The sequence below is a fragment of the Homo sapiens genome, chromosome 3 (assembly GCF_000001405.40).
Source record: "Homo sapiens chromosome 3, GRCh38.p14 Primary Assembly".
Classification (NCBI taxonomy): domain Eukaryota; kingdom Metazoa; phylum Chordata; class Mammalia; order Primates; family Hominidae; genus Homo; species Homo sapiens.
In genome coordinates this window covers 186,188,191-186,214,004 of record NC_000003.12, presented here as the reverse complement: position 1 = coordinate 186,214,004, position 25,814 = coordinate 186,188,191, and the positions used below count along the sequence as shown (strand labels likewise).

At 46.6% G+C, this 25,814-nt stretch overlaps 1 protein-coding gene across 3 annotated transcripts in view, besides 2 other annotated features; it reads left to right on the top strand.

The window, feature by feature from the left end:
* DGKG (diacylglycerol kinase gamma) overlaps positions 1-25,814 on the top strand; it is a 215,034-nt gene that overhangs the window by 148,230 nt on the left and 40,990 nt on the right. For all 3 annotated transcript variants that reach the window (NM_001080745.2, NM_001080744.2, NM_001346.3), the window contains 2 exons: positions 2,120-2,210; positions 25,626-25,803. In NM_001080745.2, the coding sequence (NP_001074214.1) occupies positions 2,120-2,210; positions 25,626-25,803 (269 nt within the window). The remainder of the gene's footprint in view (positions 1-2,119; positions 2,211-25,625; positions 25,804-25,814) is intronic.
* Positions 3,450-4,077: an enhancer, noted in NCBI's record as "H3K4me1 hESC enhancer chr3:185927717-185928344 (GRCh37/hg19 assembly coordinates)". NCBI's record gives its function as "activates a minimal SCP1, AML or CMV promoter by ChIP-STARR-seq in primed H9 embryonic stem cells {active_cell/tissue: H9 hESC(primed)}" and the evidence as "EXISTENCE:reporter gene assay evidence [ECO:0000049][PMID:30033119]".
* Positions 19,098-19,895: an enhancer, noted in NCBI's record as "NANOG-H3K27ac-H3K4me1 hESC enhancer chr3:185911899-185912696 (GRCh37/hg19 assembly coordinates)". NCBI's record gives its function as "activates a minimal SCP1, AML or CMV promoter by ChIP-STARR-seq in naive and primed H9 embryonic stem cells {active_cell/tissue: H9 hESC(naive and primed)}" and the evidence as "EXISTENCE:reporter gene assay evidence [ECO:0000049][PMID:30033119]".

The following is a 25,814-nucleotide window of genomic DNA, read 5'->3' as shown; positions in this document are numbered from 1 at the left end:
GCTACAAAGATGCTCTTGCTGCCAAAAAGGAATGCTCAGCTTTGACATTTATGACAATCTGTGTTTTTCCTGTTACTTAGTCTTTTGCCATCATTGACTGTGGAAAGGCACTGACCCTCGTTCTGTCCTCCCTGGAGAATTCTCTCCTTCAGGTTTAACTGGTTCTGTCCTTTTCCATGTTTTCATTTCACTGGGATCTACAGCAATGTCCTGTCCACTGACCATCTGCATAATGATCACTTGGACACACATAAAAATGCACAATCCTGGGCCCCGTTCCACAACTCTCTCATAGAATCTCTACAGATTGGAGCCCTGGAAGCAGCACTTTAATCACATTCCCCAGGTAATTCTTATAAATACCAATGTTTGAGAACCACAGGCATAGTCTCCAGATCCACATGACTCACAGTATCCCCTGGACCAGCAGCACTGAAGATGAGGAATCTTGGGCCCTAACCCTAAATCACTGAATCAGAATGTGCATCTTCATAAAATCCCCAAGTGATTAGATATGCACATGACTGTGCATGCAGAGAACCAGTCATCTAGAACAATGTTTCCCCCAATTATTTTACATCATCATGGCATGCATAGAAAATGAAAATCTATGTGTGGCACACTGGGAATACAAATGAGAATGTTTGCCATGGCATTGGGGCTCAGCCTGTCCCAGATCCCACCTGGCTGCTCTGCAGGCTGAGGAGACTGACATCCCAGGTACGCCTGTGCCACAGCACATGGGTTGAGAAGCACCGGTCTGCTTACAGTACACCCAGCTCTTCTAATTTTGTTCATGAGGCATAATTCCCAGAGCTTGCTTACTCTTACTTTCTTCATCATTTATTAGTTCTTTTCATGCATACTAAGAGTCAGAGAAGCTATTTCCCAACCAACTAGATCTCAGAAGTCTTCATACAATGGAAGAACACAGTTTCATCTTCAAGTTCTAGGTAGACTCTTGGGGAAATCTGCAGAAAAGAGTTGTGTCTATTATTCTGGAGAGTCATCTGCTACAACCTAAGGAACATGAGGAAAAAATAAGAGCCCTCTTCCCTCTGAAGACTGCTCCTTTCCCCTTCATCTGCAAACCTGAGGAGAGAGGATTAGCGCCATGCAAGGTGGCATCCTCTCTTCTGAGTGCCAAGAAGAATGTGATTTTGTTTAATCCTTCCTTAGCAAAATCTGTCAGCTCGTAAACTGGACAGGTGTCCCTTCTCTTAGCCAACCCCTGATAATGGGGTGACAGTTGGGGTGGAAGGAATGGAATACCTTCAGAAACACTTCCCAGTGAGACCATCTGATCAAAAGCACCAAGTGTCAGGACACACCATCTGACTTTGCAAAGCCCCCAGCTACACGGGAACCCCATTGATTGATTTTTTTTTTCTCTCAAGGAAAATGCTGAAAATTTTTAAAGCTCAAAGTAGTGAACTCTTACTTTGAAGCAAATATGACAAGTCTTGCCCTTAACTGAAGGATTGCCATGGCCTAAGCAAATACATTTGAGGAAGAGGGGAGGTGATTATTGCTACCAATCAACTCTTCTTTTTTTCCAACTTGCCTGCAAGTCTGTATCTAATTCTTGCCACTCTGCTTCCCCCAGTCAGAGCCTGGGCAATGCAGCACACATTTTAGCTGGGTTAGTGTGGGGCTATCCCTCCTCTGTCCTAAGACTGCACATCCCTCAAGTCTTAGAAGGATCTTCCCTTTACACCCCAAACATACCCAAAAGAGAGTTCTGCCTGAGTAATGGAAAGGACAGTGGCCAGAGCACTGTATTGATATTTGCCACCTCTGGCTTGACTTCTCGTAGAGCTCTTTCCTTAATGCAGCTACAGAGACCTTCTTCCTGTTCTGACCAGGAAACTCGGGGAGCAGTTGGTAGTTCACCCAGGGTTGCCGTGATGTCTAAGAAATAAGTGGATTTTCTCTAAGTTCCGAGCAAGAACAGTTGGTAAAAAATTTCTATTCCTTGATCATCTGATTAACAAGTGCTGAAAATGTAAGATTGGGGAAATTGCTGAAGGCTTGGGCCTCCCAATCCAAAGAACATAGCTATTTTACATGAGCATTTCAAGTATGGAATATTGAGACATCTCTCTGCTTTGTGGTCCAGGATGAAGAACAAGCTGTGGTACTTTGAATTTGGCACCTCGGAGACTTTTGCAGCGACCTGCAAGAAACTCCACGACCACATTGAGTTGGAGGTAAGTTCCCAAGTGGGGAGAAGGCTTCCTGGATCTTGGTTCTGCTCCTGGACTGTCACACATGCACAGGATGTATCCTCTTGGGACCTTAAGAGGTGACCCAGAGCGTAGTCTCTGTTGTTTCTCCATCCTGTTCCAAAACACCTCCATACGCTCACTCAGAAGGCTCCAGTGGCCTGTCTAGAGAATCCCTGGGGGGCTTTGGGACTCAGAGGCCCCGAGAGCCCAGAGCCACACTTCATTCCAGCCCTCAGCCCTCCTTCCACCGTGGCCTTGCGATTCCCTCTTTTCTGAGAGATAAAGTCTCCATTGCCGTCAGCACAGGGAGAGGGGCTGCTGTTGGAGAGACAATGTCCCAAGCCTGGTAAAAGTCTGGGAACTGGTGTTACAGGGCAGCAGGGGTGGGGAGTATAGGGGCTGCAGCCAGACATCCCCCAGCTGACCTGCCTTGATTTTCACATCTGCTTCAGCGAGCTGACTCACAGGTACCCAGGGTCAGTTTTGTGGGTGTGCAACCTGTGTGGTCACAAAATGTCCTTGTGCTTAGAAGGGCCCTTGATTTCATCCTATGCTGTCACTGTCTTGAAATCCTTGATAATTTTCTAACAAAGAAGCTGGCATTTTCATTTTGAACTAGGCCCCGCAAATTATGTAGCCAATCCTGTTGGTGCACTTGTGTTTCACTAACTCTTCCGGCACTTGTAGGGGCCTGCCTCAGACAGTCTGCCTGCTGGCTCCCCTCCCCTGGTTGATAAGCTGCCCACTTCCCACCCTCTCACCCCACGTTGGCTGGGCTTCGCTCCGGAAGCCCTCTCATTGATTGCCATGAGGACAGCTCCTTGGTGTCTGGCCACCTGAAAGCCCAAACTTCTATGCACACCTGCTCCGTGGGACTTTACGCCCATTGGTTCTCTTGCCCAGAGTTCTTGCTACCAGGCCTACCTTCCCGTGGGATTTAGGCCCGTAGTCTTCTTTTCACTTGAGGAAAATAAGTGGAAGAGGCAGCCAGAGAGTTCAGCCAGGGTGGGCTCCTCTTGGCCCACCAGCTTGGCCTCTAAGCCCGCACTGCAGTCCAGTGGGGCCTGGGCCTCCCTGGAGGAGGCACCTGTGGCCTGGAGTGGTGTAGGAAAGCCCTGCCCCTCCCTGCCGGAAGGGCCCCTGTGCTCCTCACTCACAGGGAGTTTTCACAAACAAAACACGAAGCCAGAGGTTCTGTGCGGCTGCATTTGACTCATCTGCCTGCCTCTCCTCTTCGGTTGCTGGGTTACCAACGCCAGGGTGGGAGGCGCCGATCTGGCTAATCCCCTGAACTTTTGGCCAGCTTGGTAAGAGGGCAGAGAGGCCAGGCGCCAGGTTGTGTGTCCCCAGGTGGCACACAGGGAGTCTGAGAAGCCGGTCCTCCTCTCTTGACGTGTGAACGCAGTGCTGGGAGCTGAGGAAGGAGGAGAGGCCTTGGCAGGGGAACCGAGTGTGGCTAACAGGGATATGTGTGCATTTTTTCCCCTTGGCACAGCCGTCTGGTGAGGTCTCTTTAAATATACCACAAGTGAGGGACAGCCCTGGCCTAACCACAGCCAGCTGCAGGCGCACAGCGACTGCTTGTTCTCCCTGCAGCTGGCCTTGAAATTGTGCCCAGAATACAGCAACTCAGCTCCCCTGCCTCTGGCCTGCCCTCCCGGCTCCAGGCCCCACAGTCCCCTCTGGGTTTGAGAGACAGAGGCTCTTCCTCAACCGCAGAGGGGGCCTCGTTGCTAAAGACACTGGTGGCCTCTGGAGGGGGTGGGGTTGTTCACTGGTCTGGAGGGAGGGTGTTGTTGGGAGCTTTCAGAAGCACTTCCTGTTTTCCTTATCTCTCCATAATGAGTCTTTTTAGTATTTATTCATGAGGATTAGCTGGGGGAGTGGGGCTGAGCGTGTCATGTGATGGGCAGCTTCTGACAGCCCTCAGGATTGGGGCAGGCACCATTTCTGTATCCAGAGAATAGCGGTGAATGGTCCTGTGCCTTGTGATCTAGAGGGGGACTAAGAGAGACGGACAGGGCGAGGCATGGGGGTAACAGGTGTAAGGAGACCGCAGAGCCTTGCAGGGAGATGGGAGAGTGTCAGGGGCCTCAGGAAGAGCTGGTAAGAGCAGCTATGCTAAGGGACCTTCTAAACGTGGTTGCTGCAGACAACAGGCCAGGCCTTTGAGAACCAGCACACGACCCACCAGCCCCAGGCCAGCAAATAACCCCACTGAGGCATTGCTACTACATTTCGCCATCTTCAGTTCCCCACCATAGCCTTTATTTCAAAGTCACACAACCAACCCTGTGAGCTAAGTAGTCCAGAGATTATTATCCCCATTTTATGGGGAAGCAAGCTGAGGCACAGAGATTTAGAAGGGTAAACTAGGCCAGGTGCAGTGGCTCACACTTGTAATCCCAGCACTTTGGGAAGCCGAGGCGGGTGGATCACCAGCGGTCAGGAGTTCGAGACCAGCTTGGCCAACATGGTGAAACACTGTTTCTACTAAAAGTACAAAAATTAGCCAGGTGTGGGTGGTGGGCGCCTGTAGTCCCAGCTACTCCGGAGGCTGAGACAGGAGAATCGCTTGAACCCAGGAGGCAGAGGCTGCAGTGAGCTGAGATGGTGCCACTGCACTCCAGCCTGCGCAAGACAGAGAAAGACGCCGTCTTAAAAAAAAAAAAAAAAAAAAAAAGAAGAGTAAACTGAAGGGAGAGAAAAGTCCAGTGGGACAGGAAAAAGTCACGTGCTTTGACTGCCGACCATAACATGTCCTAATATGCTATGACAACGCAGCAAGGCAACTATTATCACATTTTAAAAATGAGGCTTAGGTACATTCAGTGTCTCAACCAAAACTTCATTGCTGAAAACTGATAAGAGAGAAGATTCCAGGTCTTTTAGAGTGAATTTAGCTTGGAACCCAATAAACAGAGATTTACCTAACAGGTGCTAGAAGCAGTAAAGTCTTCAGCAGGAGGCACTGTTTCTTCTTCCTTAATATGCTGATTTCCTCTCAGCTCATGCAGCTGGGCAGGTGTGCTGAGAAATGCTTTGCAAAGAACAGAAGACTCAGTCCTACTTCTCATTTGAGGAAGGAATAGATTCAGGCTGGATCATAGGAGAGAGAGTCAGAGAGGAGGAAAACTGCGTTAAAGTTTGCAAAAGGTCTTCCCACACAGCATCTCATTTATTTTGATGCACAGAACAGGCAGGGCCAATATTAATGTCCTCACTTTACGGTTGAGGGAACTTAGGTTGACAGGTTCAGTGACCAGAGGAAGGGCACAGCTGTAAGGAACTTAGGGAAACAGTGAAGTCTATTTAGGTTCTTCCTTTTTTTTTTCTTCTTTTTTTTTTTTGCCAATCTGGTAAAAAGTTGGATGGTGAAACTTAAAGCTCAAATGAGAGACTGCAGGGAAGGTTTCCATTAAAAGCCATTCGCGTGGCGAGGCGCGGTGGCTCACGCTTGTAATCCCAGCACATTGAGAAGCCAAGGTGGGTGGATCACCTGAGGTCAGGAGTTTGAGACCAGCCTGGCCAACATGGTGGAACCCCGTCTCTACTAAAAATACAAAAATTAGCCGGGTGTGGTGGTGCAGGCCTGTCATACCAGCTACTTGGGAGGCTGAGGCAGGAGGATGGCTTCAGCCTGGGAGGCAGAGGTTGCAGTGGGCCAAGATTGCACCACTGCACTCCAGCCTGGGGAACAGAGCAAGACTCTGTCTCAAAAAAAAGAAAAAAAAGAAAGAAAGAAAAAAAGCCATTCAGGCGATATACAGGCGATTTCTCTGAGGCTAGTGGCTGTTTGAGAAGGAATAGGAGACTTGGTCTCATCTCTGAAACGAAGCTTGTGGCCAACTGGGCCAACTGGACAAAAGAGAAACTGAAGGGAGTCCACAGAACACACAAAAGCTGTTCAATATGGCGCTTGCTTACCTAGCGCTAAGGAAACTAGATGCAAGGAGTCCTGCAGAGCCACGTGAGTCAAATCACTCCTGGCCCTGCCTGTGACTCAGGCAGGGGAGAAGGTGACTCTAAATCTCCTGCTCACCTGTAGACACATGGCCAGGGCCCTGACTTGGAGTCACAAGGCCTGGCAGTGAGCCCTGGTCTGTGCTTAGGTTAAGCCACTTATTGAACTGTATATCTGAGCCTCAGTATTCTCATCTATAAAATGGGGGGCATAGGGGTTAGTCTACCTCCCAAGGCCATTATTAGGATTGAAGTTTTCAGGGCTTTTTGTTTTTGTTTTTTTATGTAACTGGCAGTGGTGCTAAGTGCCTCATGGAATCTGCAAAGCAGCCCTAAGTGGCAGGTGTCATAATCACCTTTCCAGAGAAGGGGGACACAGGCTGAGAGAAGGTAAGAAGCTCACCTGAGGTCCATAACCTACAAGTGATCAGATCAGCCTTCAAATCCAGATTTGCCAGACACCCGAGAGTTTCGGGGCAGTACTGGCACTTGAGAAGCTCAGTCTAGAGCAGAGACTCTCAACCAGGTTTGGGCATATCCAATGTCCTTATTCCCAGTCTTTATTTTGACATTTCAGATAACGTCAAAAGCAGGAAATAATTTTTTCCATTTGTCAAAATGGGAGCATAAAAAAATATTGCAAACGTTCACCCTAGATGCTTCTTCTATGAGACCACAAAGGAAGGCCTGTGAACGTGAGTGCTGTACCTGGAAACTGGGTGCTCCATAAATCATTGTGGGCCCTAATTAAGAAGCCAGCATGTCAGCTGGGTGCGGTGGCTCATGCCTACAATCCCAGCACTCTGGGAGGCTGAGGTGAGCAGATCACCTGAGGTCAGGAGTTCGAGACCAGCCTGGCCAACATGGTAAAACCTCATCTCTACTAAAAACACAAAATTAGCTGGGTGTGGTGGCACATGCCTACAATCCCAGCTACTCGGGGGGCTGAGGCAGGAGAATCTCTTGAACTCATGAGGCAGAGGTTGCAGTGAGTGGAGACCAGGCCATTGCATTACAGCCTGGGTGACAAAAGCAAAACTCTCTCAAAAAAAACAAAAAAACAAAAAAGAAGCCAGCATGTCCCCACACCCCCACCCTCACCCTCACCATCCCTGGTCTAAGGCAGTCTCTCAGGGTACTCCTCTCTGACATCTCTTCCCTTCCAGAGGCTCTTAATATTCATTCTAACCTGATTTCACCTGATTAAGCAGGTGGGGGGTGGGGCGAGGGAGGCACACAGTGAGTCACCTCCCCCACCCCAGGCCCAGAATAACCTTGTAGAGGTTTCTGGATGGGATCATAGGTAGAGCAAACCAGACAGGCTTCAACTCAAGCACTTATTTTACATTTTGTAGAGATGTTTCATTTCACTGGCTAAAAATAAGAACTTACAAAATTCCTTGTTTTTTTGTTTTGTTTTGTTTTGTTTTTTTGACAGAGTCTTGCTCTGTTGCCAGGCTGGAGTGCAGTAGTGTGATCTTGGCTTACTGCAACCTCCGCCTCCCAGGTTCAAGTGATTCTCCTCCCTCAGCCTCCCAAGTACCTGAGACTACAGGCGTGCACCACCACGCCCAGCTAATTTTTGCATTTTTAGTAGAGACGGGATTTCACCACGTAGGGCAGGATGGTCTCGAACTCCTGACCTCATGATCCACCTGCCTCGGCGTCCCAAAGTGCTGGGATTACAGGCATAAGCCACTGTGCCTGGCCCAATTCCTTGATATTTAATCCAATCTTTAAAACATATTCACAAGGGAAGGTCAGCCAGCTCCACTAATATGAACTAATATAAACTTTGATGGAGGGGAAGTAAGTCCAAATCTGGAAGCTGCTCAAAAAAAATATCTGGTTATCCAGTATATTTTGGGAATCTCTGCACATCAATTACTCCTTTTAATTGAGGATTTTTTTAATTTTTTTTTTAGTATTTATTGATCATTCTTGAGTGTTTGAGGATTTTTTTAATACAGAAAAGTCTTGAGAATAGTATATCAAATACTCCCAACTCCCCCTCACTCAGAATTGATATTGTCATTATTTTGTCTTATTTACTTCAACTATTTTTCCATTTTTTGTTGTTGTGGTTGTTGTTTTGGTTTTTTTTTGAGATGGAGCTCTTGCTGTCACCCAGGCTGGAGTGCGGTGGTGCAATCTCAGCCCACTGAAACCCCTTCCTCCTGGGTTCAAGTGATCCTCCTGCCTCAGCCTCCTGAGTAGCTGGGATTATAGGTGCCCGCCACCACACCTAGTTAATTTTTGTATTTTTAGTAGACACAGGGCTTTGCCATGTTTGCCAGGCTGGTATTGAACTCCTAACCTCAGGTGACCCACCCACCTTGGCCTCCCAAAGTGCTGAGATTACAGGCGTGAGCCACCGCGCCTGGCGCCTTCAACTATTTTTCAACAGAAGAAATAAAATATTACAGATAAAGCTGAAGGCCCCAGCCTCTTTATGCTCCAAACTTACCTTTTCACTCACCTTTATGTTCTTGAGATCACTCCATGTTAGTGCTGATAGAGCAGGTTGGTCACTTTTTTTTTTTTTTTTTTTTTTTTGAGAAGGAGTTTTGCTCTTGTCGCCCAGGCTGGAGTGCAATGGCACAATCTCGGCTCACTGCAACCTCTGCCTTCCAGGTTCAAGTGATTCTCCCGCCTCAGTCTCCCAAGTAGCTGCGATTACAGGCACCCACCACCATGTCCAGTTAATTTTTATATTTTTAGTAGAGACGGGGTTTCGCCATGTTGGCCAGGCTGGTCTTGAACTCCTGACCTCAAGTGATCAGCCCACTTTGGCCTCCCAAAGTGCTGGGATTACATGCATGAGCCACTGCACCTGGCCTGGTTCGTCACTTTTAACTGCCCTATGGAGTTCCATGAAAACCCAGCCACTATCCGTGACGAGGAGCAGAAATGGGAACTCTCAGACACTGCTGGTGGGAACATCAGTGGTAAGCCACTTTGGAGAGCGGTTCAGCAATACACGCCAATCCGAAAATGCATTTATAGCCTATATGACCCAGCAAGTTCTTCTCAACATCGATCTAGAGAGTTTCTCGCACATGAGCATAGAGGTGCAATGCAACATTTTTTTATTGCAACAAAATGGAACCAACCCAAATGACTATGTTATTCTAACACTTTAAAAAGACAGTGTGACTAAATGCCACTGACACTTTAAAATGGTTAAATTTTAAAAAATTTAATTTAAAAAAAAGGACGTGCTGGGTACTATGCTGGTGATATTTAATCCATATCACCATATCAGGATATGGGTCTCACCTATGAGAATCCATATTCTAAAACTAACATTTAGCACAAATAATGAGTCAGATTACTGTCCTTTAAGATTGGGCAGATACCTTTAGCTATTCCAATCTAAACCAGCGCCATTATTATTATTATTATTTTGAAGCAGGGCCTCGCTCTGTCACCCAGGATGGAGTGCAGTGGCGCGATCTCAGCTTACTGCAACCTCTGCCTCCCAAGTTCAAGTGACTCTCCTACTTCAGCCTCCCAAGTAGCTGGGATTACAGGCACACACCACAATGCCTGGCTAATGTTTGTATTTGTAGAGATGGGGTTTCACCATGTTGGCCAGGCTGATCTCAAACTCCTGACCTCAATAGATCTACCTGCCTTGGCCTCCCAAAGTGCTGGGATTACAGGCATCAGCCACCACACCTGGCCAGTGCTATTATTTTTAAAAAAGAGACATCAAGGACTTCACAGGTTAAGTACCTTGACTAACTTCACCCAAACCAGTATGTGCAGAAGAGAACTCACGGCTCTTAAGCTCCAGCTGTGGGCATTCTCTACTCTGTCTTAGCATCCACCTGCAGTGCTGCACACTCTTAAACTAGAGGGAAAGAGGTCTTCAAGTCTTGGTCTCTCCTGATATGATCTGAACCTTCTTCTCAGCTACCACAGGTAGAGCCTTTCCCTGGAGTAAGGAAAGTAGGAATTGGCTGACGTACAGCCTGTCCATGCCGCCACAGTGGAAGAAATGGAAACACGCATGGGGAAGGGAAAGTTGAGAAGAGCATTAGAAGGGATTTTGAGTTCGTGGAAAATAAGAGGGCCAACCTGATTACATATCAAACCATGGAGTCAAAAGTAAGGCTAGAATGGTCCTGAGAGAGCTCCTCCTTCTAGTTTATTCCCCTTCCTCAATCCAGTCCAGCAGCTCCCTCATTCCAGCATCACCTTCACTGTGAGACCATCCAAGGCAGCTCCTGCCACTTCTGGTTGCTTCTTCTTGCCCATTCACCGGTTCTCACCACTTGGTTTCTTTCTGCTTCCTCCTAATCGGTTTCTTTCCGCTACTCCTAATATGTGGGCTAACCTCTTTTCCCGATTACAAAGGTAATCCAAATTCATGGCAGAACATTTTAAAATACAGAGGGGCAAAAAAGAAAATAACCCCCAATCCCACCAACCAGGAATCAGCACTGCTACAACATTGGCCTCGTTTCAATCTTAGGGTAATGTTAGCCCTTGTTTCTTTATCATCAGGCCTCCTGAGGACCTCTGTGATTCTTTGGCTTATTAAATCTTTATTCATTTTTAAATGCAGCTCCATCATCCCCATCTCTGTCTCTTTCAGTCGTGCACTGACTACGAGTTTCCTTCACTAATGCTTAGAATCGTTCAGCTTACTAAAGAAAAACTGTTTCTGTCAACTTTCCCTTACAAAATTCCATTGTTTGCTTGCAGTTTCTGGCACATAAAACTTTTTCTTTTTCTTAAATGACCCTCTTTTTTATTTCTTACTAATGTGCACCCTGTAGTTCACTTCAAGCCTCTATTCATTCATATGCTTTTATTTTCCGGTTCTTTTCCATTTCTTTTGTTCTTTGTGAATTACTTTGATTTTCTTTTGTCTTCAGACTCCTGGCTCTATCTACTTTGTGTCTTCCGTGGACTTAGAAGTAACTTTTAAAGATTATGTTTTATGCCTACATTTTCACAAAGTAGTTGTTGAGGGATATGCAGCATGTTTAATAGATGGGGCCCAAGAAAGTCTCAGAAGACCAAAGTTGGGGGTCAAGTGATTCAGCATGTTGGGTCAGAATGCTCTCCCACAATACATTTCTTTCTGGAAGATCCTCTCAGCCAACTTCTGTCCCAGCCCCAGGAAGCATATGTCTTCTACCACCAAGGTCCCTTACTAAAAGAATAACTTTCCCCAAGCAATGTCTACCAAACAAATGCATCTTTTAAGTAATAATAAACTGCGAGGCCCCATCAGTGGGAAATGACCTAGACTTTTTAGAATATTCAGAGGAATTCATGATCTTCATCACCACACATGGGAGATTTGGGAACCTCAGGGAAGAGAAACATTACAATCCTTTTCTTCCTCTACAATCACAGGTTATTAAACAGAGAATATTATATACAAATATGTCTTGTTGGCTATAGTGGATATGTCTTTGTTTTTCTAACTTATCCTGTGAAGTCATAAACTTACTAATCTTAGTCTTCACTAGAAGAGGAATTAAGAAGGTAGAAGAACTGAATCTTTAAAGAAGGTCATAGAATCTACAAGGGGTTGGATAAATACCACTGTGCACACACACGTGTTATATCTCAAGCCCATTAGGCTCAACAAATGAATAACAATAGCAGCAACTTACTGAGTACTTACCACGTGGCAAGCTCTGTCTTATTTCATCTTTATAACAGCTCTGCATGGTTGTGTATTATTCCCATTATTTACCCAAGGAAACTGCATCTCATAAAACAAGTAAGTACTCCCAAGATCAGATGAGTTTCAAGCCTCAATCTGTGATCCCCAGCCCATATGCCCTTCACAATGCCACGGGACCTGCAGTAGGAGATGACCTCTGCATTACCTTCCTGCTTTTAGAAAAGTCATGTGTCCATTTAGTTGATAAAGGGGCTCCCATTCAGGACTTGGCATATCTATCAGGCAGTCAGCTTTCTGAAGCAAGGACTTTATCTTATTCATTCTATACCCCTGGACTTAGCACAATGCCTAAAATGAACTAATTCCTCAATAGTTGTTTGTTGATTATAAAATTGAACCAAGTATAGGGAATTCCACAATTGGTGTGAACATTAGCAATGATCACTTGGCCAGCCTCAAGTCCCGCCTTTTTCTTGGAAGCTACCAGAAAAAGGGGCCCACCTTGCTGCATTTGTAACACAAAGGGGAAGATGGCTGGCACTCATGCCTTCTCCTAACTGCGCAGTGAGTGAGAAGGCCTCCCACGCCCATCTCTAGGAAGCTATTGGTGGTATCTTTGATAGTAGCAGAGGGTCCGGGACAACTGTGAACCAGGACAGGAAATGCCAACATTCTCCCACCTCTTTCCCACCCAACAGAATTAAGACAGTGAGTGGGCAGAGCTCATGTGGCAGTGAGGGTGCCAGGTGGCTGTAGGGTGGAAGTCACCCTGCAGGGCAGAAAGGGTCTCCATTCTGAGCCCTCTCTCATGGCTCAGAAGCCTACCTGCCCATGATCCCTGCTGGCCCCCAGGCCATCAGGCCCTGCTTTGTCTGCAGGAAAGTGTGATCCCTCAAAAAGCCCCATCCACTCCAGGTTGGCCTCAGCTTCCCAGACAGACAGCAAAGCCTATTAATCTGCATCCAGAGCAAGAATCCCTTAACACACTAGTTTAAAAAAAAAAAAAGAAAGAAAGAGAAAAAAACACCTGGGGAGGGTGGAGCAGTGGATAGGAAACAGCTTTGCCTTCTGTCCAACTCTGAAGCAACCCATCACTGTGAACTCTGAGAAACAGCAGTTTTGTTTTGGAAACTGGCACCCAGTGCCGGCTCACTCCTGGAAATGAATTTGGGCACCCCCACCCCCAGCTGCAATATTCTACTTCCAGTCTGCCTGCCAACACCCCCTTCCAGCTGCCCCTCTCAAAGGCACCATTGTGCCCGCCTGGCACAGCAACAGAGGAGGGCTAAAGAGGAAGAAAACATTTTCTGCCCATGGGATGTTCTTAAGCAGGTTGTGTGTACATGGCTTCAATGCCGCATTCCTTGAGCCCACACAAACCCGCCAGAACTCCATCATCCCTGTCACAGATGCAGCCACTTTCCAGTCTAACTGGCCCACCTCAGCTCACTGTCAGAGAACTCGGAGCACACACCAGGGCGGACAAGGCTAGGTGGAAGTGGGGGGTCAGGATGGCACTCTTTCAGCACAGCGCACACTAGCCTGCCAAAACAAAGCTGAATGTAGATGTGGAATTTTGGAACTGGAAGGGGATTTAGTTCCACTTACCACTCCACAAAAGACTCATCCTAGCACATTCTGATAAGTGGGCACCCAGCCTCCTCCTGAATACTCCAAAGATAGGAAGCTCACTACTTTTCAAGAAGCCTGCTGCGTTACTGGACAGCTCTGATCTTCAGAAAGTTCTTCCTGATGTTGAACAAGGATTGTGTGTCCCATTCCTTGTCATCTTCTTCCCTAGACAGCACTTAGAACAATACTTGGAACAAAATCAGTGCACAATAAGTGTTTACGGGGTGCATGACTGAAGTCTTCATCCACTGGGCCCATTTTCACCCTCTAGGGGCACACAGAGCATCCTCCACACTCCTCCACATGGCTGCCTTTCATAGGGCTGGAGATGTATCTTCATGGTGTCTCCTTTTCATCTTCACTGAGCTAAACAGCCTCAGTTCCTTAGAGGACTTGATTTATAGACCCACAAATATCCTGGACCACTCTTCTCTTGATACACTCCATTTTTTTCATGGTCCGCCTTAAAATGAAAAATCAAATTCCTGTTCTATAATACTCTAAATGCGATCTCATAGGTAACAAAGCACAAGAGTAAGAGGCATCGGGAGCATGCACTCTGTAAGTTGGGCTGACTTCTTGATCTCGTCACTTGCATCTCATGCATGAAACCCGCAGGTTCATGAGGACTATCATGAACCTTGACAAATTTGGAAAGACATTCCTTCCTTAGTGTCACCGAGTCAATGTTTCCTCATCTGTAAAAATGGAAATACAAGGCCGGGCGCAGTGGCTCACACCCTGTAATTCCAGCACTGTGGGAGGCTGAGGCAGGCCGATTGTCTGAGGTCAGGTGTTCAAGACCAGCCTGGCCAAAATGGTGAAACCCCATCCCTACTAAGAATACAAAAATTAGCCGGATGTGGTGGTGTGCACCTGTAATCACAGCTACTCAGGAGGCTGAGGCGGGAGAATCTCTTGAACCCAGGAGGCGGAGGTTGCAGTGAGGCGAGATCATGCCACTGCACTCCAGCCTGGGCTACAGAGCAAGACTCTGTCTCAAAAAAATAAATGGGAATACAAATACTGACATTGTAGGGTTGTGAAGATTAGACATAAAATATATAAAGTGCTGGTTCACAATAGTTACTCAATAAATGATATATATTAATAATATATAACATACGTGTGGATTAATATCATTATCTAACTGCCCACAATAGACATCAGCTCCTAAAATGATATAAACCAGCACCTCTGAATGCAGGAGAAGCCACTGTTCTGTAAGAGTTGCTACAGGCCAGGCCAGTTTGTGTATGTGGATAATACTGGACTGTCCTGAAAGCCAGGCGTGGTGGCTCATGCCTGTAATCCCAGCACTTTGGGAGGCTGAGGTGGGCAGATCACGAGGTCAAGAGATCCAGATAATCCTGGCCAACATGGTGAAACCCTGTCTCTACTAAAAAAAATACATAAATTAGCTGGGCTTGGTGGCATGCGCCTGTAGTCCCAGCTACTCGGGAGGCTGAGGCAGGAGAATCCCTTGAACCCAGGAGGCAGAGGTTGTAGTGAGCCAAGATCGCACCATTGCACTCCAGCCTGGGTAACAAGAGCAAAACTCCGTCTTAAAAAAAAAAATACTGGACTGTCTTTCCAATAATGTTGTCGCCACTCAATACATCACCTTTTCTTCCTTTCTGAGCCACATCAGGTTATTGACACTAGAAACATTCTCTCTAGTTTTTCTCTGCGGAAAACAGATATTGTTGTTTGCCCTGTTTTTCTTTGACTCCCAGTACTTTCTCTATTATGGCCATAGGCCCTGCAGACATGCAGGTAACTACTTCCTTTTCTTCCCCGTTGCCTCCAGCCAGCAGTGTGCTAGAGCAAGCTTGCTTGCTGGTGTATCTCTTCCCAACTTGCCTTTTGGTGATGTCATCATGGTCACTTGAAATTGGCCATAGTAGGAATATTGACACCACCATGGAACACAATAACAAAGGCTTTTTTTCCTCCAAGGGAGTCTGCTGTTAAGCACTGACAGCACACCACTGCCTCTAGTATTGACCCACTGGAAGTACCTTGAGGACAGGGACTGTGTCCCATTTCTGCTCCATCCCTAGAGTCTAGCACAGAATAAGTAGGTTCTCATCATTCTTGATAGATCAGTGAGTACTCCTGTCTTCTGCCTCTTAATGTCTCTCTCATATAAAACATGCCCCATGTGCCCTACTCTTGTTACCTATTCAGGTGTTCAGGTATGGATTTCCTTCAGCTGTGATCAGAGGACCACTTGATGGAGACTTGGATTAACCTTCCATGTCTCTCCCTATCCTGGAAATTTGGTCCACTTTATTTGTTCACTATATTCATCCAGAGAGGTTGGGGGAACTCATACGGAAGCAAAGAAACCTTATCACGTTTCTTCAAAGAACACCTGGGTTTCCATTTTAGGATTTTTGCACACATTATTTCTTTCAACTCACAAATAGTTATATTGGACACCTGATATGGGTAAGACATGCCAGGAACTGTGAAGAACACAGAGCTGTCAGATATGGTCCCCGCCTTCTATGAGTTTAAAGTCTCCTAGGGGACAGACAACTATGCAAAATGCATGGCAGAATATACATTCCCTTTAAGAGGAGAAAACAAGGCAGTGAAAATTCAGAGAAGGGGAAGATTCATTTCTAGCAAGAGCATTGAGGAAAGCCTCATAGAGGAGAAAGCTTTTGAGCTGGAAGGGTATGTTAACGGGCATAAAAGAGTTGATGGGCAGTTTAGGCAGCGTGTACAGCAGAAAACAATGTAAGTAGTCCGCAACTCTGTGGCCTCTATGCAGAATTCAGGCTACTATAACTGACATTTACTAAGGCTCAGCTAACCCTCTCCCTCAGCTACTCTCCTATGTCCAAACCAAATGAGACCCTACGGCATCCAGCCTTCACCGTAGTCTGACTTACATTCCAACCTGCCAAGCTAATTCACAGAGAGAGGCTGCTCCCCGCCCACGGTATCAGAAATGCTCTCGCTGTAAATGAGCACCACTGCCTCGTTCTTACCTAAGTCCCACAGGCCCCGGGGGCTGCACAGGGTGGCTTATTGGTGCTTTCTCTTTCCCTATTTCCTGCCAGTGTCCTGTTCCCTCAAAAAAGAGGCAGTGTGCGGGGTGGTGGGGGATTTCACTCAGGTCTAGGTCAGCCACCCCTCTGCCTTTTAGGGTCTATCTGCGGCTCTGATCTGGAGCCCAGGCATCAAAGGAGGCCACCGTCATCTCCTGCCCATGCCCCTCTCAGCCCATCAGAACCCCTATTCAAGTGTGTCAGGATATTGTCCGCCTCTTCCTCAGCCCTCTCTCTTCCTTCTCACTGTAACTGAAGTGCTATTTTCCCCAGACATGGCCCAGCATTTACTACTTCCATCTTCAAAAGAGCTACCCCCCGGCCAACTCTCTCACTCGCTGAGAAAGGAAGGACCCTGGTATCGTCCCCAGATCAATGTCCCAGCACTCTGTTCAGCATCTTCTCTTTCCCTCTATCTACTTCCCATCCTAGGCATCCCAACTTCCTCTTCTCATCCATTCATCCAACAAGATGTATTGAGTATCTTCTCTGCCTCAAACATCCACAAAAAAACCTTTTCCTCAATCACATTATCCTTTTAGATCCCATCTTCCCTCTCCAGCCTGTGTGCCACCAAACCACACGGTGACTCTGACTCTGTTCCCTCACTACCACCACCCGACTCACCCCAGAGTCCCTGGTTAAGCCCTATCTCTCCCAGGAGAGAGCTGTGTCATCTAGGAAGGTCAACTTACCAACTTTAGACCTCACTGTTCTCATTTTGGTAATTAGGAATGATCTCTAATGTCCCATGTTGCTTTCCCATTCTAAGATTCTGTGCTTCAGCCCTTATCCAATAGCCAAAATTCCTCTTTATAAAGTTACTCATGGCTTCTTGGTTGTCGGTCCAAACAATCACAGGTCTAATTCTGGATCAGCTCACTCTAATTAGCTAAGTAACATTGGGCCATTCCCTTAACATCTTTAGCCTCAGTTTTCTCTTCTATAAAATGAGATATTTGGACTGGTTCACCTTTCAAGCCCTTCAGGTCTTTGATTCCATGAGATTACAGATGCAGAGAAGAGAAAAAGGCTGGGCGCAGTGGCTCATGCCTGTAATCCCAGAACTTTGGGAGGCCAAGGCAGGTGGAACACCTGCAGTCAGGAGTTCGAGACCAGCCTGACCAACATGGTGAAACCCTGTCTGTACTAAAAATACAAAAAATTAGCTGGGCGTGGTGGTGGGCACCTGTAGTCCCAGCTACTTGGGAGGCTGAGGCAGGAGAATCACTTGAACCTGGGAGGTGGAGGTTGCAGTGAGCCAAGATCACGCCACTGCACTCTAGCCTGGGCAACAGAGTGAGACTCAGTCTTAAAAAAAAAAAAAAAAAAGAAAGAAAAAGAGAGAGAGATCCTTTTAAGAGACTATACGAGAAATAATTTATGGAGAAAATAGCATCTGTAGAGATTTAGAAGAAAGGTACAGGGAAGGTGCTAGGGTATCCTACCATTAGGGGACTATATTAATGGGTCAAGACAAGAACTGTATAATAGAAGGTATAGGCTGATAACACCTGAATCCACTGATCAGTCTAAAAATCACAAAAAAGAGACAACCAAATTATGTGCTTCCTAATGAGATGCAATAGGAAATATACAGCCCCACTAATAAAGTAATCTTGCCAAAAAGCCAACCCTAAATCTAGTCAAGCCTGTAGATCTAAAAATACCAATTTAGTGAAAATACAAGGGATAGACTATGTTTAAAAGACACCCCAGAGATGCAGTTGGCAAAATCCAGAATCTGCGCAACACTACAGCCTTACTACTCAAAGTGTGGTCCACGGACCTGCAACATCAGCATCACCAAGAAGGGGGTCAGAAATGCAGTCTCGGGCCGCACCCAGACCTCTTGAATCAGAATCTGCATTTTAATAAGACCCTGGAGTGATCTGCATGCACATTCAAGTTTGAGAAGCACTGCTCTAAGGACAAATGACCCATTTCTTCAATAAATAAAAGACAAGGAGAAAAAAGAACAGGAGTCTATAGATCAAAAGAGACCTAACAGATATATATCAACAAATGCAATGTAAAGACTTTTCAGGCAAGCTAACAATTTAAAAAAATGATACTATCAAGGAAATTTGAACAACTACTGGATACTTATTAAAGAATTTTTTAAAGAGTAACAATAGTATTAAGGTAATTCTTTTTTTTGTTTGTTTTTTTGTTTTGTTTTTTTTTGTTTTGCTATAAACTAGTTCAGTCTGGTGGTGATAAAGTGAACTGGGGTAGAGTTAAAACAAGATTAGCTGCCTGTTGCTAGAGGTGCTAATTACCCAGACTGGGTTTTGGGGTACACGGGGGTTTATTATACTCTCTGCTTTCCCTATATGTTTGAAAATACCCATAATTTTTTTTTTATACAGAGTCTCGCTCTATCGCCCAGGCTGGAGTCCAGTGGCGCGATCTCAGCTCACTGCAACCTCCGCCTCCCGGGTTCAAGCGATTCTCCTGCCTCAGCCTCCAGAGTAGCTGAGATTACAGGCGTCCCCCACCACGCCCGGCTAATTTTTTGTATTTTTAGTAGAGACAGGGTTTCGCCATGTTGGCCAGGCTGGTTTCGAACTCCTGACCTCAGGTAATCCAACTGCCTCGGCCTCCCAAAATGCTGCGATTACAGGCATGAGCCACCTTGCCCGGCTTTTTTTTTTTTTTTTTTTAAAGAAAGACCAAGAAAGAGTCGTGGAAGATGGGAGGGACAATAACTCAGTGACAGGGTACCCAAGAAAGAGAAAATTCCCAGCAGAAAGGGGACACATGCCTCCCGGAGCTACCGAGTCCTGGCTTCCACCTCCGATCTGGCCTGGTGGAGGTCATTCCTGAGAGCAGACAAAGCCGAGTGGCAGGCCTATAAACAGAACCGTCTGCGTCCAAACCAAATCTGTGGCACGGTGAATCGAGGTTAGAAGAAGGGGGAATTTCCTAGTTGCTAAAAACTGAAACAGGTCATCAAATAAATTGTGGAATCTCCTTCCCTAAGGCCCTTCAGAAATAGGATCGACAGGGCTGGAGTGGAGGGGCCCCCGCCCGCCGCCCTTTTGAGGTCACGGCGCAGGAGAGAAGGAGGGCGCGGAAACGCCGGCACCGGCTGGGAAGCTTCGGTGCTCCGGGTCCCTCTTGGCGAGGGCGGAGAAGTCGGCGGCCTCTGCCTAGAATTCTGTGATTGTAGGGATCGAGACATCAAGGGCGGGGGTGCAGAGGATTACAAGTTCCCTAGCGCGTCTCATTTGCACATAAATGTGCTTTGCCTCCTAACCTTGTCTCTGTTACCTGTGCACCTGCCTTCCACCAAACCAACCAACCACCCGTGGCTCAGGAAGAAACCAGAACTGGGGGGATTGTCTTCCCAAGGGGGACACAGTTGAACGTGGCCGGCAGCCTCTGGCCTCCCGGGCCTGGGTTCAGACGGACTCCGGCGCTGCTTCCAAGACCGACATCGGGCACCTGGCCGCCGGCGCACCCAGGAGCACGATTTCATGCGTGTGCACGCTCTCTGCTCGGGCCAGGAGCTCTGTTTCAGCCCCACTCCGGGCTATAAATCCCTGGTTCCGCCCAGCGCAGCCTCGGCTCGGAGGGCAGCCTGCTAGCCAGGTCCTGGGTTAGGGATGGCCCACGGTGCGCGCGGGGACCGCCACACTCCTTAGCGCCACGCTGGGGCCGCGCGGGCCGGAGCAGGGGGAGGGGGCCCGATGACGTCATGGAACAGTTGGAGGATTTAGCTCGGGAACCCGCCGGGGAGCGGGCCCCGGGGCCGGCGTTCCATTTAGGCCGACAGCGTCCCGGGCTCGGCTCCACTTTCCCAGACGGCACGGCTGCCTTCCACGTCCAGAGCGGGCCTGGGGTTCTGAAGGAAATCAGTGCACGATCGCGAGGCCAGGAACTCTGGAGAATGGGCACGCAGGCGTGCGCTTGCCAAGGCTCTTACCAGCCTGGGTCGGGCCAAGAGGCCGTTAAGATGCCTCCAGCAAAGCCTCAGGTAGGGGGAGTGAATTCAGGAAGATAAATGCCTCATGGCACAGAGGTTGGGGAACCTGTGATGATAACGCAGACAGTTACACAGTGCTACTGCATTCCAGACACCCATCAACCCACCCCTTAAGGCAGATGTTATTCCCCTATCCTCCATTTTACAGATGACAAATTAAACCTCAGAGGGGTAAGGAAACAACCTGGAATCACACCGCTGGCAAGTGACAGAGCCAAGATTTAAACCCATGTCTCTCTGCCTTCAAGCCCAGGCAGGCACGTTCTTTCCAAGACACTACATTGGCTCTCACTTTCCAAGTAGGTGCATTCCAAGAGGGAGGGAGGACATCAGCGTCCAGCAGACCCCAGGCTTCTCCCATCTCCTCTACTTGCCCTATCTACATGGGACCCACTGCGGTAATAGGGGAAGGGGACAACCTAGAAAGCAGAGTGAGGATTGCCTGCTCTTCCAGGAAGAGGTAAACGTTTACCAAGTTAATAGCAAACACACTTAGCTGGCTATGGATAGAGATGGAGGGGACAGGGTACAGTTAAAACTGTAGTACGGAAGAAAGGTGACTTTGTGGAATACTATTTGTCAAGGACTGTGCTGGTGATGTACTTTTTTAAAAAACAAACCTGGTGCGGAGGCAAGATATAATAATATTAATATCCAACATTGATGTGCCAGGCATTGCTCTAAGCACTCTATAAGATAGAGCAGTAGTGGGAGATCTCAATTATTCAAACAGCTGGAAGTTTAATTTTGCTATAAGCCTAGCATCAGCAAAAATCCCGATTTGCCTCACTGACTCATCTCCAGCGTAGGATCTGGCATCTGCCTTCCTAGGTTTGCATCCTGGCTCTGCCATCTTGTAGAGTAGGAAGCTGTGGAGCCTTGAGCAAGCATCTTAACCCCTAAGAGGCCCTGTCAGTTGGGGGTAGCAATGCTGCCTCCCTCATCATGTTCATGTGAAGATCGCAAGAGATACTATGGGTGAATCCCAGCACAGTGCCCTAGAAAGCTCTCACCAAGCATGAGTTGCTAATATTATTCTTATTACTGCTCAGAAGGGAAAGGGATGTTTTGACCAACAGTGAATAAATTGAGATGATGTAGAAGCAACTACAGCCAAGATGGGGAAGTGGCTGCTTCATCTAGAGGGTGATAAGGATAAAAGAAAATGTGGGCCAGGCCCGGTGGCTCACCCCTGTGATCCCAGCACTTCCGGAGGTCAAGGCAGGTGGATCACCTGAGGTCAGTTCAAGACCCGGCTGGCCAACATGGTAAAACCCCATCTCAACTAAAAATAGAAAAAAAATTAGCTGGGCGTGGTGACAGGCACCTGTAATCCCAGCTACTTCAGGAGTCCAAGGCAGGAGAATGACTTGAACCCGGGAGGCAGAGGTTGCAGTGAGCCAAGATCACACTACCGCACTCCAGCCTGGGCGACAAGAGCGAAACTCTGTCTCAAAAAATAAATAAAGGAAGAAAAAAGAAAGTGTGATCCAATGGGACTCTAGCCTAAATCTCTAATTAGGAATATGTGTATGAAGGATAGGAGGGTAGAAGACATTCCAAAATAAGTTTCTAAGAAGTCATGAATCACACTGAAAAGAAAAGAAAAAGGAGTCAGTTTTTGTTTTTCAATCAATGTGACAGCAACAGAGAGTGTTGGTTGAGCCTATGCTTTCAGGAAACTGTACACATACACGCAAAGGCAGAGCCTGGGCATGCAACCAGGTAGGAATACACAAAAGCAATTCAGACCTGTGAGCCTGGCTTCAGGCTAACTGAAGGCCCAGCTGAATGCTAGACAACGTTTGAAGTGAAAAAGAACATAGAAAGCATAGCTCAACAGGACTGTGCCATTCTGGAAGAGTTTTCATCTTTTCCAAAGAGAGTGGCCTTAAACTAAAAATGGAAGAAAAGATGCCAAAGGTGGATACTAGAACCCAAGGTAAATCAATGGAGAACTAACTGGCTTTGAAACACACACACACATTTGAATCCAAGTTGCTGGACAAGCCTGTAGGTGTCATTCAGGGGCCACTTTGACAAATCCAGAAAACAGAGTAGGTTCTAGCCAATAAGAGGCAGACAAATATGGCTCCAGTGTTCAAAAAATAAGAATAGGGTACATTTTGGAAACCACAGACTGATACACTTTATTCTGATCCCTGGCAAGATTCTAGAATAGATTATTAACAAAGTATTTAGGCTTTGCACACAGATATTGGTGACTTAGTTGAGTTATCTTATTGCTTTTCTAATAGAGGTTGTAGGGTGGTCACTTAGGAAATGCTGTTTGATCTCGGCACAATGTTTTATGTTTTCATGGAAAGAACGCAGGATTGAGGTCTGGAGACCTGGATACATATCTAGCTCCACCACTAATAAGTCAGATGACCACAGAGAAGTTTCTTAACCTCACTGGGGCTCATTTATGAAAGATGAGGCATGAAAGATGAGAGGCATCTTCCCTTATGTGCCTCTCATCTCTAAATTCCATCATCTGTCTAATAACAAAAAGTAGGCTGGGTGACAGTCCAGTCCAGAAGATGCAGCTCCGATAGAGCAGCCATACCCCAAAGGATGTTAACGCATAATGTTTGGTGTTAAACTGACCAAGGAGAGTGCTCGGTCACTGTTTTTTCCTTTTATGCGCACATATTAATGACTTAATCCCCAAATGATGGGAACGCGATGACAAAAGGTCACAGAATGAAGATTGGAAGTAAGCTGGGTAGACTAGAGGAAACACGGGCTGAGAGCCAGATGAAATTAATTAACATAAATGTAAAGTTTTATGTCTATGTTATTTTTTAAAATCTACACAGGTTCAGAATGGCGAAGAACTGGATGAAAAATAGATCATGAGATGATCTGGGCAATGAAGATGACCACCCATTTAAGCTGAAGTGATGTTGTCATCTAGCCACTAACAAAATGGCCAGTGCAATCTTTATCAATTGGATAATAAGGATAAGGATAATGATAATGGATAACGTGCTGAACTCTTACATGAGCTTTGCACGTCATCTCATTTCTGGGGCATGATAGTATCATAAAATTTCAGCCACAAGAAGTACTGGTGTGGTAGCCACCTGCCCCCATTAGATCCCGTCGTTGATGTAGTTTTCAATGTTGGGGGTCTTGCCAAATAGCAGGGTAACAAACTAGAGTGTGTGCAAAACAGGGAAGCCGGGATGGGAAAAGATCTGAAAACCAAGTCTCATGGGAGAAGATGAAGAGAGTTGACAGTCCAGAGGTGGCACAACCTGGTAGTAGTGTGAGAGGGAGGAGAAATAAAAAACTTGGGCTCTGACTACCTGCCCTTAAATCTGTGTACTTCCACTTGTAAGTTGTGAACTTTGGGCAAGTTACTTAACCTCCTCTGTGCCTCAGTTTCCCCAGTGTAAAAAGAGGATAGTCATAGTAACTAACTTATAGGATTATTAGGAAGATAATAAATGAGATGTGTATAAAATTGTGTGTGGTAGATGGCAGTGCTGAATACATGTGCACAATGGTGATCTTCATCATCATCATCATCTATCTAGGGGGTGGCCTATGGAGGAGGAAGGAGGGTCATTCTGTATGGGTTCAGAAGGGAGAACAGGACCAACTGGTGGAAACAAGAGTGAGAGAGAATCCAGATCAACATAAAGAGACCTCTCAAATTATCAGAACTTCCCAGTGAAAAAATGAGTTCGCAGTTACCAGAGTTGCTCACTGTATGCCATCTTGTAGTTGGGGAAACAAGATAACATAATGTAAGAACTGCAAAGAAATCAGGAGGTGAGTCACTATGAATGGCAACAAGTCTTCTAGTCCTGCTCTGTTGATAAGTCTCTGGAAGTTTGGGTTTGTACGTAACCTCAGAGATAGTGGGTTTTTATTGTATGCCTTTGATTTTTTCTTTCTCCCAATAAACAACATAAAGACCATGTACTTTGTACTCAAATCCCCCAACTTTGAATCCCTGCTCTGTTATTTATTAGCTGTGCAAGCTTGGATAACTTAGCTCAAGTCTCTGGGTCCAGTGTTTGCTTCTGTAAGTGAAATAAACTACCTACTATCCTGAGGAACAAGGATCAGAGCTGATATTTCTTGCTGTGTTGGTAAGCACGATGCCAAAGTGGGCTGACTTTATAGACATGTGAGATGAAAATTCAAGCCTTCTGGCTTTTTGTACCTGGTGGGGACTGCAAGTTGTGGAGATTGGATAAAGAAACTCTGCTCCTTCAGCAAACACATATGCCAAAATTGCATTTATGATACAGATACAGGAGACAGGCAGATTCTGAAAGCCTTCCAAAGCTTAAAGTCTTGTGCTTCTCACAGAGAGATAAAATAGGAGGGGGCAAAATGAAAATTTTCTGGCCAGGCGTGGTGGCTCACTCCTGTAATCCCAGCACTTTGGGAGGCTGAGGCGGGCGGATCAACAGGTCAGGAGATCGAGACCATCCTGGCCAACGTAGTGAAACCCCGTCTCTACTAAAAATACAAAAACTAGCCAGGCATGGTGGCAGGTGCCTGTAATCCCAGCTACTCGGGAGGCTGAGGCAGGAGAATCGCTTGAAACCGGAAAGTGGAGGTTGCAGTGAGCCGAGATTGTGCCACTGCACTCCAGCCTGGGTGACAGAGCAAGACTCCATCTCAAAAAAATATATATATATATGAAAATTTTCTGTCATTTGTTATGTTCTGAATTTTCTGTCATTTGTTAGGTTCTGAATTCAGTTCCACTAAATCTTCTAATGGTTAGGAAGGGGCAAGATTGATGATAATGAGATTAGACTGGAGAACAGTTTGACAATTGACTTAAGAACCAGCCCTAAAGCACTTCTAGACCTAAAGATGACCCTGGAGCCTGTACTGTATTCCCCGGAGCTGACCAGGACTGGATCTGTCATCTCACCACAGCAGTCAAAGCATTAAGTCTGAGCGACTTTGCCCATGATTTCTCTTCTGACAGTGGCAGGGTGGTGGCTGAGGACCTGTCACATCCTTTAAGAGAGTACACACACACACACGCACGCACACACACAGAGCACCTTGGGTTGTGACACACTGAGGACACTAACAGATGGCCTTTTCTCTCCGTCCTCCAGTGTGATGGGGTTGGGGTGGACCTGAGCAACATCTTCCTGGAAGGCATTGCCATTCTCAACATTCCCAGCATGTACGGAGGCACCAATCTCTGGGGAGAAAACAAGAAGAACCGGGCTGTGATCCGGGAAAGCAGGAAGGGTGTCACTGACCCCAAAGAACTGAAATTCTGCGTTCAAGGTAAGCCAGGA